A 17,911-nucleotide genomic window follows, 5' to 3' on the forward strand; every position below is an offset into this window, starting at 1 on the left:
ACCGTGTACCAGGTATATGATGATAAACATTTATATGATGGTTTTAATTCTTATGACACTTCTGGGGTAGAAACTATCCTCATTTTACAGATTAGGACATTGAGGTTCTGAAGCCTACATAAACTGACCACAGTCACATGGCTAGTAAGCAGCACAGCCTAGATTCAAAATGCAGCTCACCCACCTGGGTGGAGGGCAGAGGCAACACTTGTCCTTGAGGAGTGGGAATTTGGGAAACCCTTGCAGGGGAGGCCAGGCCAGGGCAGTGTTCATCCTTTTCAGGTGAGGTCTGGGCCTCATGGTGACCTCTGCTGGCATAAACACACCCCCACACCAGCTGAGGCGGCCATGTTCCTAGCACCCCAAGGACCACTCATGCTCCCACAACGTGGCTCGGGGCAGCCATAGCCTGAGACAAGGATTTCCTCACAGCTCGGCTGAAATTCCTCCTTGGCCCTTGCTGTGTCCCACTGCCCCATGACTGAGGTGGGAATAGGGTGCAGAGGGGGATGCCTTGGCTGCTCAGAGGCACTGAACCGTGGCACCCCAGCCCATCAGGGATCCAGGGTGTCTCGATTGTTGACCAGGGCTGGGGCTTGGTGCAGGTGAACATGGCCCCTGCAGGGCTTCTTTCCTTAGGCCCCAAGGCAGACACAGTCCCCCTGTTTTCTCAGGCTTCTCCCTCACAGCCCAGCAGGAGGAATTTCTAGGATTTGGCTCCAGAGCCCCAGACTGGATCTTGGGAGGAAGGACCACAGGAATTAAACTAGGCCCTACTAGGGCTCTGGCTCCACTCCTCCATGCACTTGCAGCCTGGTTCCTGGGTGGTGTCACCCCTGGCCTGGACACCATCCATTCCCTCATCTACTCCATAACCGTCTGCTGTGACCAGCAGGGAGTGTGTGGGGGCAAAAGAGTCTAAGGAAAAGGACAGAAGAGAGGTCAACTACAGCCAACACAGCTCTGAGTCTGAGGAGGGGTCTTCTTGGTCAGAGATCCTTGCAGAAGGAGTTGGGGCAAAAAGTAGGCTTTGAGGGAGCAACAGATAAGGTCCAACGTTTCACTCCTTTGATAACCTCAACCAGTGCTGAGGCTTTAAATTCCATCTCCGAGGACTCCCCCACCCCGCCCCCTGAGCTGCAGCCTTGTATATCCACGCTGCCAGCCCAGCCCAGCCCCTTCCTTGGATGCCTGCTGAGCATCTCACACTGAACAAGTCCAAAAAGAATTCCTGATTTCTCCCCTCAAGTCTGCTCCCCATGTGGTCCTGCCTCTTAGCTAACAGTAACTTGTCAATCTAGTAAGTAGATCTTAGTTGCTTGGGCCCAAATCTCAGGGGTTGTTTCTCTCTCTCTGCTCATCCTCTACATCTAACCCATCAGCAAATACTGTTGGCTCCACTTTCAGAATGTAATGAGGATCCAACCACTTCTCACATCCTTCGCTGTCACTCCCCAGGAACCACCTTACTAGTTTATCTGCATCTACCCTTTCCCCTACAGTTTATCCTCAACATGGCAGCTAGGGGAATTCCAGATGTGCTCCTCCCTCTGCTCACAAACCTGCAATGGCTCCCATCTCACCCAGGGTGAAAGCCAAGGCCACTTCAGTCACCTCAAAGCCCCATACAAGCTGATCTCTTCAGCGCTCTGACCTCATCTCCTGCCCCACCCAGGACCTCTGCACCCGCTGCGCTCTGCCTGGAGGTTCGTTCCCACTCAAGGTATTCACAAGGCTTAGTCTCGGCGTGTTAGTTAAGGCTTCCCCGACTGTCCCGTATCAAATAGTTATCCTCTCTTCCTCATCAGAACTCCTATCCTTTTTCTCCATAGTACCTGTCACGTCCTGACACACTATATTTGTGTTCCTTGTCTGTCTACTACAACTAGAACACAGCTCCATGACGGCAGGGGTTTTTCTTTTTTGGTTACTGCTATATCCCAAGCACCTGGAATAGTGCCTAGCACATAAATGATGTTCAATAAGTGAATGAATTAACTAAGTGCCAAGAGGCAAGGATGGCAGAGCTCTCCCAGGCCGGGCTGGGGCAGTAACTGGGAAGCCCCTATTCCCTGAGGCACTGATCTCCTTTCAGCCTCTCCAGTACACTGCCCTCTCCCATCTTCCTGCAGGCTGTTTCCTCCAGCCCTGTCCCATCCTCCCATTCTTCAGGTCTCAGCTTCAGTGTCATTTCCTCAGAGAAGTCTCCCAGACAGCCTTGGACTAAGTTAAGGTCTCCTACTCCATGCTCCCCAAAGCAGCTTTACTGCCACTTGTAAGGAGTCCAGACACTTAGAGGTGTTAGTTGCTCACAAACTGAGCACCAGGCTTATCTGCTCTTGATTGCCTCATCTGGACGGCTGTGGATTAAATGAGGTGATTCATATAAATAAATTGTTGAATAGGAATTGGCCAATAATGGTCAGGCAATATTGCCACAATTACAGTGGATACTCAGACATTTGTTGTTTGTGACAGAAGGGCAGCACACCAGAAATCATGGTTAAGCCAAAAAATCACAGCCTGAATCAACCCTGGGAAATGCTGGGGAACCACTGCCCACATTTTAAACAATACTGTTCCCGGTGACTTTGGCTCCTTCAAGTCCTAGTGGGCCTGGCCAACACACCCCTGGCTAACGTCCCACAGCCTGGGTGGATTCTGCGGGGTGGGGTGGGGGTTGGACCTCCCATGTGTTTGGAGGACCAGCAGCATCCATGGGAGCTTGCTAGAAATGCAGCATCTTGCTCCCTTCCCTAAGACCTGTTAAATCAGAATCCACATTTTCACACATTCAAGATTGGAAAGCATTTCCCCAGATCACAGTGTCTCAGAACTAAGGGCTAAAAAGGATATATATATGTATGTATTTTTTAAGTTTCAGGTTCTGGTTTCTATACTAATACATCTTCAGTCAGTCATGCTCACTGGCCAGAATCCATTCTCTGAACACCCTTGACCACCAAACTCACATATATTCTTTCCTATCTCTAAGCAGTCTTGCCTGTTCCTTCCCCATTTCCAAAATCTGGGGCTGCCATGAGTGCCCTCAGTGCCTGTTCTCTTGGCAATCAGACAGGGCTGGGCACCAGGTGATGTCGGGGAAATGGTTGGGTCACAGCAAGCAGGTGGCCTTCTCAGGAACCTGCGTGAGAAGGGCCTGAGGGAGAGGCCTTCTCAGGAACAGGGTGGGAAGCACCCAGACACAACCTGAGCTGAGGCACAGAGGAGACTTGAGAGTGCCTGTTTGCTCTGCCAGAAGGGTTGGGCCCAGACCACTGCAATTGCTTCCCTGCCATCTCCCAAACTCAGCTGAGAGCCCCCTCCCTGTCACCCAGCCCCCGTGGGAATGGCTCAGGCCAGGAGCTACCATCAAACTAGCTCCTTTCTCCCAGGGCCTGGTGACTCCTTGACAGGTTACAGCCCCAAAGACAAACAGATTCTGCCAAGCAAATAACTGTTCAGCAGTGGGGGTGTTGGGGAAGGCCTAGGAGTGGGTCTGAAGCTGCCAGAAGAAGACCCAGGTGAAGTGGGGGGTGGGCTCCCCTGCAGAGAACAAACAGCTGTGGGCACCTGGAAAGAAGCACGATGCAGGTACACTGTCACGGGTGAGGGCACTCACCCCAGGGGTCTGTGGGCCAGTCTCCCAGGCTCTTTCACTCTGGGCTCTGTATCAGGCTGCTCCCTGAGAAAGAAGAGTCTTGCATGCAGGCCCTTGGGGGCAGGGAACCAAACAATGCTTGCTGGCTGATCAGCTAACTTGGCTGATTTTCTTTGTGCTGGAGATACAGGTCATTTGGAGGCAGTTTCCTTACCTTCCTGGTCACTGGGCACCAGAAAGGGCAGGAGACCCCATTATAAACCCAGGACTAATTTCCCAAACATATAATGAACCTCAGGGTCTCAGTTTTCCCATCTGCAAAAGGGAAAGGCCCAGAGACCAAACAGTACACATCACAGAGCCATTATGGGGCCACACAAGTTTACAGGAGGCTTGAGGGTGCAATAAAACTCACCAACACACATGAAAACAGCTTTTTTTGGTGTGTGTGTTAATTTAATCATACAAATATTCATTTATACAATAAGGAAAAACCTCCTCATCTTTATCTCCTCCTAGGCACCATGAGGCCCCACCACAAACATCCAGCTGGCTTTCTACACACACCACTGTCCAGGTGGGAAGGGCAGCCACTGCTGCTCCTGCATTCACCCAAGGAAACAAAGGAAAGGTGCGGCGAGGCAGGGTGGGGTGAGTAATCAGCTTGCACTTCTGAGCCCTGGCAACCCTACCATCCTCTCCTGCTGGGCTCAGATTGAATTTGGGGAGGTATTTATTCTCATGCCCATTTCCCACCATGGCCACCCTCAGGCCACACCAGCTGTTTGGTGAGGTTCTCTCCAGGCTGGAAGTAACTTTGATGGGCTTAAGGTTACAGCCAGTCCTTATGGGGGAGAGAAGGCTGACTGCTTCTTGTAGAAAAATGCCCCAAATTCAACTGTCCTCACGGCAAAAAGAAAAAAAGCATGCACACGTGCACATCCATCCACACACACACACCTCACTCCATGCACACTGACAGATTCTTCCCAAGTCTGAACCCCTCTGTCTCCCCAACTGGGTTCAGACCCTATCACCTAACCATGGTGTCTGCCTCACCTCCTGGGTGCCAGACGCAGGTGGTCCTGCCCAGAGGTGGCCTGCCACTTGGTGAAGATTCTAAGAGGAGCAGGGACTATTGGGGCTGAGAGGTAGCCACTACCACCCCACTAGGCAGGGGAGCAGAGAGGGGCCCTAGGCATTGCTCTGAACCCATACCAGTGAGGGGAGAGAGAATGAATGATACTGATACCCTCCCTGGGCTGGGGAAGCCATGGACCCCTCTGCCTGCACTCCATGACTTGCACTTACTCTGGCCCTCTGCAAGGAGCTCATCTCGCCTCCAAGGATGTGCACAGAAATGGTTTGTTCTTGGGAAGGGAGACAAGGTGCTTGGGACATTTAACTTGCCAAGTGTGGTTGCCTAGAAGCAAGAGGAAGAGCAAGACGACTCTGGCAGGCCCAGACCCACTGACGGTGGCCCATGAAGCCCCTGCTGGGAAACTGGGAAGGGGCACCCAGTGTTGGGCAGAAGAGGAAGTCAGGAAAGCAGGGGTTGTGAAGCCTCCCACAATCCTGCCAGGGACAGTGGAGATGTGCTGCTTCAAGGCTACTAAGCAGTAAGAACAGCTGGGCATGCATGGGCTCCAGGGAGGCAGTGTCTCAGGAGACTGGTACCAGCAGCAGCAGTCTGGGCCTAATGAGGCCCTCAGACAAAAAGCCATCCTGAGGCCTGTGGCGTGGGTACCTGGCAGAGACTTCCCTCTGCTCTGCTAGGGAGTGGAGCACTCCCATGTGCACAGAAAATAGGTGCTCCAGAGTAAGCTCTAGTGAAGTCCCAGACCCAGCTGCACCACGCTTCTCAGCAGGCTGGCTCCAGCCACCCCCAGGGCTTCTCCAGTGGAATAAAGTTTATGCCCCCTTTTATTTTTTGGGGGGTGGGGAGGTGAAGAGGGAATTTCACACAAGCTTTTCTCCCACAATCAAGCTCTAAAAAAACAACAGTCTCAGAAGAGGATGAGGAGGAACAAACAACACACATTTTTTGGAACTCAGACACCCAGACAGAAACAGGCAGGCAGACCCTCACCCACACCCAGGCTATATGACTCCTTGCAGCCACTCATTACCTGGTCTCCCTGCCTGTCTCACACCCTCACCCACCACCCAGCTGGATGGGGGTGTGGTAACAGGCAGGTGACCCTGCAACAGCACCCTGGATCCATATCCCTGGCTCTCAAACCAACTAAGACTTGAGGGAAGGAGGGGGGTAAGAGGGACTTTGCATATTCTTGTATCTTTGGCAGACAGCTGTTCTAGCCTGGTTCAAGCTTCCCATGGAGATATCCACATCTCAACCTGCTCAGAATCTACAGGATGCCAGGGCAGGCCACCTGCCTGAGTGAGCAGCCAGTCAATCAGCCTCTTGCTTCAGCTGGGCTGCCACTTGCCCACCTCCCAGCCAATAATCTAGCATCCTGGCAGGGAGGCGGGGCTGTGGAGGTCCTCTCATTTCCATCTAAATGTGGTCTCCAAGATCAAGTAGTCAGTGGCTGGCCCTTCCCCATGACAAATTCCCCCTTTGGGGCTGTATTTTCATACCTCTACAGATCAGCCGCCACTAACAGGCTGTGAAAATATCAGAGGACAACTGAAGAGAAACAGGGAAAGGTGTTGTGTGACAACAGAGAAGCATGGGCCACCTTCAAGCTTGCCTACTGCACACCTGCTGGTGAGTTGCACCAACACCCGTGTGTGCACATGTGGTGCATACATATAACCAGCACAGAGGCACTGTTCCCAGAGCAAATGGGAAGCCACTGCATGAAGAATCCAAAAGAGCAGTAAGCATGATGGCATTTCTCTCTGCCAAGAGAAACATGGAAGAAAAGCAATTTTAATTGTTACAAGGGTGTGCAGAAGGACACCTCTCAGGCTTAGAAAATCCCACGTCACCCGAGATCTATCCTCAAGGCTTCCTCTGCTGGCCACACAGGGAAGTTTGGTCTTCAGAGAGGTTCTGATGCTAACAAGCCACAGGGTTGACGAATACAAATGTCAAAGGTGTAAATCAACAGAAGATTAAAGAGAAAAGAGGAGGAAAAGGGTGATAACTCATTGGCTGATGCCATTAAAAACAAATGGGGTCAGAGACTTCTGGAGTCATGTGGCAGGGCAGATGTACTCCTGTAGCACTGATCCGCAGAGTCCTCAAACATGCCACGCCAACTTTTCACCTGAATCTCTTCCAGAACAAGCACTATTCTATAAAGAATATGTTATCCCTTATTTAAAAAAATAAAAGTGGGGAAAGAGGGAAAAAAATTAACATGTGCTCAAAACTACAACCTTTCTGTAGGCAAAATAATTTTTGTTTAAAAAGATGGCTTTTTTTCCCCCATTTTAAACTTTTTCCCCCTTCCCGAGTGACCTAATGACTTGTTAGACTGATGCCTATAACAAAACCCAAAGTGGCTGCATGGATTTCTTCTTGGTAGCCTCAACACCATTCCTGTGATTCAGCATTCACACATGCATACTGAGTTTACTCAAAACTAGTCTGTTCTGCTTCTTCCTCTTCTTCCGGGATGAGAGGGGGTCAGAGCCAGGGGTCTGTGCGATGTGGTCTGCAATCCAGAGGAACCCCTTGCCCTAACCCCCCAAAGTCAGGCCTTCTGTCTTTTGTTAATTTTTCTTCTTGCTGACACCCGTTTAAGACTGGCCGAAGGGGTAAGGCCCATGGAGCCCCTGGAAGAGAGTGAAGATAGTCAGTGATGGTACACATAGCAGTGCAACTTGACAACCAAACCAAGTGCAAGATCTATGGTTCCCAGTGAGTCACAAGGAAGCCCCAATCCACAGACAAGGCCTGAGGGTCTTTGCCATACAAAACCTCGGCAGGCCAAAGATCAGTACATTTCAAGTTGCTAAGTTTCTCACTGAATCCAAAGATTTCTCACATCATCCAAAGAGAGGGGAGGGTAGAGATAACTCCCCCATCTTTCAGATGGTAGATCAGTCAATGCCAACCTTCCTCCACCCAGGTCACAAAGCTTTCCTATTTCCTTCTTGACAAAAATGTCTCAACCACTCTGCTAAAGATCCTTATATGCCATTCTATGCACCTTAACTTCAGATGTAAGGCTACTGCTAGCTAACAACACATATATCAGCAAAAACACAGAAATAGCAACTATTTACTTAGCACCTAGGTCCCAGGCACAGTACTAGGGGCTTATCCTACATTGCCTTTAATTCTCACCTCTTCCCTAAAAGCCAGGTGAGTATTATAACACCTATTTCACTGACACCCATTTTACTGCAGAGAATAAGACTTGTTCAAGGTCACCTGGTTAGGCCAAGTGTGGTGGCTCACGCCTGTAATCCCAGGACCCCATAAGGCCAAGGAAGGAGGATCACTTGACCCCAGGAGCTCGAGACTAGCCTGGACAACATAGTCAGAACCCACCCCTATAAAAATTTTTTTAAAAAATTAGCCAGGCATGGTGGCACACGTCTATGATCCCAGCTACTTGGGAGGCTGAAGTGGGACGATCACTTGAACCTGGAAGGTCGAAGCTGCAATAAGTCCTGATTACGCCACTGCACCACTCCAGGCTGGGCAACAGAGCGAAATCCTGTCTCAATTTTTTTTTTTTTTTTTGGAGATGGAGTTTCCCTCTGTCGCCCAGGCTGCAGTGCAGTGGCACAATCTCAGTTCACTGCGAGCTCCGCCTACCAGGTTCACGCCATTCTCCTGCCTCAGCCTCCCAAGTAGCTGGCACTACAGGCGCCCGCCAACACGCCTGGCTAATTTTAGTAGAGACGGGGTTTCATCATGTTAGCCAGGATGGTCTCGATCTCCTGACCTCGTGATCCGCCTGTCTCGGCTTCCCAAAGTGCTGGGATTACAGGTGTGAGCCACCGCGCCTGGCCAATCCTGTCTCAAGCTTTTTAAAAAAATCACGTGGTAAGAGGCAGAGCCAAGATTCAAATCCAAATTTGATGGACTGCAGTATTCCTTCTTCCCACGCTAGCTCTCCCTTGCCACATGATAAGGTTTATTCCAACTTGCCAAAGGCACTTTCTATGCTGCTTGGCTGAGTGGAAGAAGCTTCACAGTCTTGCTTCCCCTTATAAGAAAGACACACCAAGATGTGCCAACATCAAAAGCAGCTACACAAACCACGAACACGCTGGACCATGACGTGTGCTTCCTCCCCAATCCCTGCTTTTTGTTTTTCCATATAAAGCCTCCCAAAACCAGAAGGACATCTCTAGCTGCTTGGTCGTATCACTAAACTAAACAAAAAATCCTCAGGAGATGATTTGGGGAATGGACAGGCCAATACCAATGGGGCATCCACTACGTGCCAGGTGCTGCAGTAGCACCTAACATGTTCTCTTTAGCCCTCACAAAGATCCAAGGAGACAAGCATGGTCTCCAAGCTCAGACAGGTGAGGCAACCTGATTAAGGGAGCAGCACTGGTGAGGGAAGCAACTGGCATTTGCCAAAATGCCACATGGCTGTCAGCCCGAGCCAACCACGCCTCTAGCAGACGAGCTATGAACCATCTCAGCAGCCACAGCATCCACCCACTCAAGCAAGTGTGCACTGGGGCAGCAAAGGGCTCTCAGATTCCATTTTGCAAGTCCTGGTAGGGGGGGTCCCATACATCAGAGGTATCAAGTTCACGCAAAAGTAATTGCAGTTTTTGCCATTATTTTTATTTTTATTTTTTATTTTTATTTTTTTCAAGACAGAGTCAAGTGCTGGGATTACAGGCATGAGCCACTGCGCCTGGCCTTTGCCATTACTTTTAATGGCAAAAAATGCAGTTAACTTTTACACCAACCTAATAGAACGTAAAGCAGCTTAAAACAAGCTGCCCTGACTCAGCAGTTCCCAACAACAATCATTCATCTAGAACTACCCAAGGAAAGCAACAAAAACTTTAATTCCCTTAAGGTTTAGAACCAATACAATGCTCAAAGGTCTCTGTGCAGGAAAAAAAAATGCACAGCAAAAAGAAAACCTTGCTAGGTACGGTCGCTTATGTCTATAATCCCAGCACTTTGGGAGGCCCAGGCGGGAGAACTGCTTGAGGTGAGGAGTTAGGAGATCAGTATGGGTAACACAGTGTGACTCCATCTCCACGCGCAAATTTTTTTTTAATTAGTTGGACATGGCGACGCATGGCTGTAGTCCCAGATACTCAGGAGGCTGAGGCCAGAGGATCACTTGAGCCCAGGAGGTCGAGGCTGCAGTGAGCTATGATTGTGCCACTGTACTTCAGCCTGCGAGACAGAGTAAGACCTTCTCTCTTAAAACAAAGTCACAGGTTCTGAGGGTTAGGGAAAAAATAATAAATTTAATAAAGAAAAAAGAAAACTCAAAAAACAAACAGCATTTGCTTCCTATGAAATATTTACCCCTTTACCCTAAATTTAACTGCTTTCCAGTCCAAAGCTCTACACACTTCATGTGGGCCTTTATAAAGCAACCACTGGCTTTATGATTTGTCTAGAATACTTGAAGAAGGAAGTTTATGACTTTGTCAAAAAGCTGTTGTATATTCCCACTTAACGGATAAATAAAGCAGGTTCTATTCAATTGGAAGAAACAGGAATAAAGACGTGTGCATTTTCAGATTTCCTTTGAGTGCCCTGGCCTTCAGACCATTCAGTGTGGCATTTAACTAGTTTAGATTATGGTTATTGTTGATCCTCTATTTACTGATGTTCCATGCCTTTTATGAAGAAAAATAGCTACCTAATTCTCTTTCACCCAGTGAACTATATATTAGAGTTGTTGTTGTTTAATTGGAACAGAAAAATAGTTTGATGAACAAGCTCTATTTTTCTTACCCCCAAATTAATTACCATCACTTCAAGGAAGAGAGAGGGCACCAACTCTATTTGGAAGCTATTTTACGATCTAGACTCCCCCACACACAGTATCATAGGTGTCTCATGTGGATCACAGAACACAGGCAACATAACACCAGTTGTAGAGGAAAAGCCTGGCAGAGATTCCAAGAACAGCTTGTCTGGGGAGTCCTATGGCAGTAGGCCAAGCAGGAAGACCATCGCGGTACCTTCTGGATGGAGGTACTTTCAAACCGGGAGGCCCATCCACATTTCAGATTCCACTGGAGTTCTAAGACCTGGTGTAACAGGTTCTGGTAGCCAACGACAATCCCAGCCTAAAAGTAGGATTTGGCAATACAGATAACATTCACTCTCTTCTGGGGCCTAGCAACTCTTCAACTTTTATCTGTAGTAAAAACAGATGCCAAATATTTTAGCTAACCTGGAATCAATGAAATATCTTCTCTTACACTTGTACCACTACTAATAAGGAAAACAGATAAAGGGGCATATGCATTAGATGGTACCACAGAACCCTGAATTCAACTCGGACCCAAGCAAAAATTGAAGCCATCATCCTGATTATAAAACCCAGTGAGCTTGATGCAGAAAGCCACTCCTCTCTAGGAATAATCATGTCCTATCACATAGGGACTAGCAGCAAGACTGATTTATCCATGCTAACGGAGGGTATAAATACTCAAACCCAGAAAAAAACTCTGGTATCTGACTCCAGGTCTAAAGGCCAGTTGCCCAGGGCATACACCACTTACACAGAAATGGGTTTCCAAAGGCTACATTGAACAGCCCCACATCTGCTAGGGGATATGAAACTGTTCAGGTCCATAGGGGCTGAGGTGTTGCTTGTTTTGCCTCAGCTTTCCCTAAGCTTTCACTGACCAGCTATCATAGGTATGAGCGTGGGGACCTAAGTTCAACCTGGCTAGAGAGCAGGCAAGCCTTCTTAAAGCGCAGAGGCTCCACAGTCATTAGCTAAGGCAGCAACGCCTCCTGCTCACCAGTGTTGGGGAAGAGACTTTTGCCTTAGGCCAGCTGATTGATTACAGTAGTTGGGCCAAGTCCTGAACTGCATTTCCACAATGCAATAATAACTACTGCAAGCAAGCCATTATCTGGCTAATTTCCTAAAATTAAAAAAAAATTTTGTTGTTGGGTGTGGTAAGGGAGGGGTGGTCCTCACTATGTTGCCCAGGCTGGTCTTGAACTCCTGGCCTCAAGTCATCTTCCCACTTTGGCTAAGTGCTGTAATTACAGGCATGAGCCACTGTGCTCAGCCCTAAAATATTGTTAGAGAACATTTACAGACATAAAGATGAGCTCAGTCTCATCCTTATCAATCTCCTAAAAGGAAAATTTAAGATCTAGTACTTATAATCCTGTCCTCAAAGCAAACCTAAAAATAACTGTCTCTCTGATTTGTTTTACAGAATCATTTATAGTTGTGTCTGTCAAATAGCAAGAATCATTCCTAGCCAGTGATGTGGTTATCACTTATCTTATGTGAGGGTAAACCTGCAATATCTTAGAGTCCTTTCTAAAATTATACAGAAGTCAAAATAACCTTTCCAAAAAGGAGTACTAAAAAACTGTCACTGATAGAAAACATCAACTGTATGCCAAAGTACTAAAAAACAGGCAATCATTCCATTTCAGTTGTATTCACCTATTTTCATCAGTAGGCAGGGCAGTGCTATCAGAAGAGTAGGCTGCCCTTCTATGACGACAGAAGCTGTTCCTGATACTTAGTTCTGCCTTGCACATAGTAGACTCAGGTATCAGTAAAATGAATGAATGAATTATGAAATACACTGACTGGTGAGTCAGACGTTTTTTAACATTCCAGGAAAAAAAAGAAGGCTGAAATTCCTAATGAAAAAAGGATGTCTCATTGAGAGATTTTTGCATTACTCTTTCTGTATACGAAAGCTTGTTGTTTAGATAAATTACCACAACACAGGACTTTCACATACCTGTCTTTATTTTGCTTTTATTTGTGATTTGATTTAAATAAATAAGAAGGTTCACACAGGTTAATAAAAAGACAAGCAAGTTTGTTGTATGGCTGAGAAATAATATGCTCTCTTGGTGTATACTGATGGCATTATCGGATAACACCATGAGGACCCTCCTCTTCCTCATTTCCTGGGTCAGTCCTGGTCAGTGCTTCTTCCGCCTAGTGCTCCTTTTGTATCACTTATGTACACTGAATGCAAACACAGAAGAATACAGGGTTTAGTACTAAGTCCTGTCCTGATTTATACTGCAAACATTGTGTGGTGAGGCCCTGCTCACAGGCCTGGCCTGGCTGGCAGGGGCCAGAAACTGACTAGGACCTGATCAAACCCATTAGTCTCTCATTAACTAGAAATAAAATTAAGTCTGTACTGGAGTAATGAGCAGGGCAATGGGCACTCTCTCAGTAATGTGCAAACCAGCGCCCTTTCCTTAATGCCTTCTGACTACTCCGGGAGGCTTGCTGGTGGCACAGCAGGACCCGTCAGCATGAGAGAAGGACTTCTGTAAGATGATTTAACATTGGTCTCACTCTGTCGCCCAGGCTGGAGTGCACAGGTGCGATCTCGACTCATTGCAACCTCCACCTCCTGGGTTCAAGCGATTCTCCTGCAGAGGCGTGATCTTGACTCACTGTAACCTCTACCTCCTGGGTTCAAGCAATTCTCCTGCCTCAGCCTCCCAAGTAGCCAGGACTACAGGCACCATCATGCCCAGGTAGTTTTTGTATTTTTAGTAGAGATGGGATTTCACCACGTTGGCCAGGCTGGTCTAGAACTCCTGACCTCAGGTGATCCACCCACCTCAGCCTCCCAAAAGTGCTGGGATTACAGGTGTGAGCCACCGCACTTGGCCTGTTCAAGTCTCTTTCATGTGACAGTTTCCCAAAATTCAAAGATGTATTTGATGCACTGGCTGAGAATGAGCGTGAGAACCAGCCAAAGAATAGGAAAAAACCCTACTTCTACACTCAAGGGCTGATGACAGGGCAAGCTCAGTTCAACCAGGCCTTCTGATTGTGCCAAAACATTTAACTCAGTTATTAGTGTGCTGAATGTATTTTTAAAGCTCTGTAAAAACAACTTGTTGTATCTGCCTCTGTAATAGTTTTTCTGTTGCTCTTAACTAACCTCTACAGTCCTGTTGAGGAACTTCTCATCTACCCATTTATCCTCCCTTCACCCATTCATCCAACCCTTCATCATTCATCCCTCCATCCTTCCTCTATCATCCATACTTCCATCCCTCCTCCCTCCATACATCCTCCCTGTCAACCATCCTCCTGTCCATCCAAAGTCCCCCATTCCAAAAGGCAACTCCCACAGCCTTCACTCACCCCCTACTCCCCTTACATATTTTTTAAAAACCATGAAGAATAAAACTCAAACATAACTGTGAATGAAAACACATTATTCAAAGTTTCTACGTGGAGGTAGAGGATCCTAGCTGAATCTGACTTCCCCTTTTAGTAAAGATTTCAGAAAAAAGCTATTTGTTATTCAGAATTCTAGCTCCAAAGATCTGATGTAACAGCAAGTGTGCTAGAATCCAAGTGGGATGCTGTTATACAGAACTCTTTCATGGTCATCTCCTAGGGTAGAGGAGATTTCCAAAGAGGAAGAACGAACAGTAACAGTCTCACTGGGGAGGACAACAACATGAGAGAAGCTTATTCAAGTTCCTAGTCAGGTAGCCACCCTGCTAGGACACAGGATAAGGCTGCTGGTCCAGCTTTCTCTCAGAATTTCGATTAAAGCTCCTGTAACTTTCTGTCAACTACCCTTTCCTTACAAGCCATCATCTCCCCTGTGTGTCTTACAATTAATTGACAGGCATCAGCTTGCATAATGGCTAGTGGATTAAGGGAAGACAGTAAGTTGTCTCTCTCCTTCTTGGTTCCTTTCAGCTATATTTGGTTTTGTCTTGCCACTCCCCTACTCAAAAGCATTGCTGGCACTCTCTCCTTTCATATTAAATGTGAACTCTCCTTTGCTTGGCTTTTAAAGGTCTTCCTCCAAAATGCACCCCACCCTCTTTAAGCACACCTCACTCACCGCAGCCAAGCTGGCCAGTGTCCTGTGAACACACCCTGCCTGTGGTTGCCTCTGAGCCTTCCTGCATGTGGTTCTTCTTCCCTCCAATTCAGTTTGAATCCATCCTCCATCAAGGGATCAATTTCTTGATTACTCCAAGTCTTACTGCTTTGGCCGTCCCCAAATTCCTATTATCACTTAAAAGTCAACTAGAATTCAACATACTTCATCTTTACTGGCTCTTATTCTTTCCTATGGATTGGTCACATCTACGTTATCAGATAGTAAATGCTTTGAAGATAGGGATTAGTGGCTGAGCACCCAGGAGACCTCACTTACTGACTGAATAATATCAGTCAGTATTATTGACTGTATACTATCAGTCAATATTATTGACTGTGTAAAGCAAACAGCTTTAACTGGCCCTTAGGCAGTGAAATCACAGCAAAAAGTTCAAGACCCTCAAACCTTTGCAGGGGAACATCCCAGCTCTAAGGAAGCTCCCATTTATCCTGAGATACAACAGTTCTTAACCTTACATTTTGTTCTGGTCCTGCTGGTATACAATTAAAGCAGACTTAGCTGAGAACAAGTCATTTGAAACCTGAGCATCTATACCAGGAGCCATTCTTACACTTTTGAATTATACTTTATCTGTTTGAACCTATAAATTTCACGAGTCCTACTTTGAGAACTTTCATCAGAAATTAAAATGCTGAATTCAGAGTATGGGGAAGAGAATGGGCCCTTATAACCAAAATAAAACATGCTGGCAATCTTGGGAACATTAGCTCTGCTTCAGCCACAAGAGTGCACAGCATCAGAACAACCTCAAACAATGCTCAGAGCCCAAAGCAAATAAAATGGAGCTGGACAGCTTTGAAGCTACTGAGGTACAAAAAGGAAAGTTCCTGGAGATACTTTTTATTCTCAGTCAGATAGTAATGTTACAAACAACAAAAGACATTTTCTAAGGCCCATAGTTATGTTTGCTTAATTTATTTAAAAAATGCACACAACATTCATGCCAATGTAAACACCAGCAAGGCTGCGAGGACTTTACTGGCTCTTCTGGGTTTTCAAAAGAGAATCATCAAAATATTAAGCCCAGAGTATCCTGGCAAGTCCCTTCTGGTACACAGTGTGCTAATCTGCCAGCCAACTGGGACAGGTCCCTTGGTTGCTCTGTGTTGCTTCTTACCGGCCACACATTCTTTTGCAGTTCCCACAAATGAATGAAGAGGTCTCTACGACCTGACACTAAGTGCATAAACTACCTTCAGAGAATAGCCAACAAACTTCACTTGCCAGCAACCTCACTGTAGTGTGGTCTAGAACATTAGACTCAAACTGGATCCCTGGGTTCCAGCCTGCAGCCCACCTTCAATTTGCTGTGTGAATGTGAGTAAGTTACTTATAATACTTCCCTATTATTTTTTCAAATGAGGATTATAACTACGAAATCACAAGTGTGTTGTGAATGAAGAATAAGAATAAAAGCAGTAAAGGTACTGTGGATAGTATGAAATGGTTTACATGTTAGACAGATAGTGTTAAACTCAGCCCTTGGACCTCTAACTATGCCAGAGGTTCACCAGTGGGGGAATTTTGCCCCCCAAGAGACATCTGGCATGTCAAGAAACATTTCTGGTTGTTACACTGTGGGGAGGGAGGGCAGTACTATTGGCATCTAGTGGGTAAAAGGCCAGGCATGCTGCTAACCACTGTACAATGCCTAAGACACATATACCCTTGCCTTGTTTAAAAAAAAAGACTTAACTGGCCCAAAATGTCAACAGTCTTAATCAGTCAGCTAAGAAACCCTGACCTCCTCTCATCATTTAGGGAATCACATTCAGTCTTACAGCATTAGATGCCATCCATGTGACATAACTCTCAAATTTATATCTCCACCTAGACTTCTCTCCTACACTCTATATCCAACTTGGATATGCAACAGCCCACTTGACACCTCCATTTAGATGTTTATATAAATATCCAACATATCCAAAATGGAACCCTGTTCTCTCCCCACTTCTACTGCATCCTTTCCCCTATCCATTGATGGTAGCTCCATCCCTCTAATGGCTCAGGCCAAGAATCCTGGTGTTATCCTTTCTTCTCTTTTACATCCCCTTCCAACCTATTAGCAAATCCTGTTAGCTCTAGCTACACAATATAGATCCGGACATGGACCACTTCTCTTACCTCTGCTGCCACCAACCTGATCTGAACCACTCTTACTCTTTGCCTGGATGACGGCATTAACTTCCCTGTTGGTCTCCTGTTCCTACCCTTGCCCTGTATTTACCACCCAAGAGCTAGAGTGCTCCTTTTATAGCATTAAGTCACATATATCACCCCTCTATTGAAAACCTTTTAAGGCTCCCCTTTTTCCTCAGAGCAAAAGCCCAAAGCTTTATAAGGGCCCGCAAAACGCTCCACAATCTGGTCTCTGTCCCCTGACTTCATCTTCTTCTACTCTCTCTCGTGGCTCTGCTCCAGGCACTGGCCTCCTTGTTATCCCTTGAACACAACAGGCAAACTTCCACTTCAGGGCTTGTACTGGTTGTCCTCTGCCTAAAATATTCTTTCTCCAGATAGGCTTTACAGAAACAAAACTCGATTTTAAAGGAACTGTAGGACAGCCCCTACGTATGTTCTAATTCTAAAATACTCAGTATATTCAAAGGGAGATTTTTAATTTGTCCCAGAAAAATAAGACCCCAGAGACTGTATCTTGTGGCCACTATCAAGGAATATAGACAGGTTTGGTTTTTGTGTGTGTGACATCAAAAAGTACAGATGCTGCTATAACAAGAGTGAGTTAATGAAAATGTCAATGCCAACAAAAACCTAAACCCAAGTGACTATGAAGGTTTCTAGGTAATCTTTTCCCTTCTTGGAGGCTAGAGAGAAAGCAATAGCTGGTGGGGGGAAGAGGTTTAATAGTAGAAAAGTCACATAATATTTGGTCAACAATTGCCTTGATCCTCATTTAAAACGTAGCTGTACATTACAGAAAGCCCACAGATGTCAGCCCAGCTAACAAAAATGTGTACTTGAACACTGCAATTGGGAAGCAATGCAGTGCAATGTTAAGAGAACACAGCATGCTTAGAAGTCAAAAATAACTGCTTTTGTTGGTATCCTGGTCTTATCACCCCGGTACATGACCTTGGGCAAATCACTGAACCAGTCTCAGTAACTGTAAAGGAGTGATAATAACAATACTTTTATCATGGTACTGTTTGTGGACTACATGAAGTAATGCATGTCAAGCACTGAGCCTATTGTCTCTGCGGAATAAAAACTGGAGGCTGGGAAGCAGGGAGGTGACTGGAGTTTTTTGTCATAAGCTTGGTAGAACTA

The 17,911-nt window shown here is 46.6% G+C and overlaps 1 protein-coding gene across 6 annotated transcripts in view; it reads right to left on the reverse strand.

Moving 5' to 3' along the window:
* Nucleotides 1–4,035: 4,035 nt before the first annotated feature.
* Nucleotides 4,036–17,911, reverse strand: part of ILRUN (inflammation and lipid regulator with UBA-like and NBR1-like domains) — a 109,480-nt gene continuing 95,604 nt past the window's right edge. For 2 of the 6 annotated variants that reach the window (NM_022758.6, NM_024294.4), the window contains one exon: nucleotides 4,036–7,348. In NM_022758.6, the coding sequence (NP_073595.2) occupies nucleotides 7,313–7,348 (36 nt within the window). In that variant the 3' untranslated portion in view covers nucleotides 4,036–7,312. Of the gene's footprint in view, nucleotides 7,349–12,460; nucleotides 12,697–14,560; nucleotides 14,737–17,911 lie in introns of those variants that run through there. The other 4 variants (XR_926300.4, XM_005249298.4, XR_007059333.1 and 1 more) reach the window with 3 other exon arrangements.

The sequence above is a fragment of the Homo sapiens genome, chromosome 6, assembly GCF_000001405.40.
Source record: "Homo sapiens chromosome 6, GRCh38.p14 Primary Assembly".
NCBI lineage: Eukaryota > Metazoa > Chordata > Mammalia > Primates > Hominidae > Homo > Homo sapiens.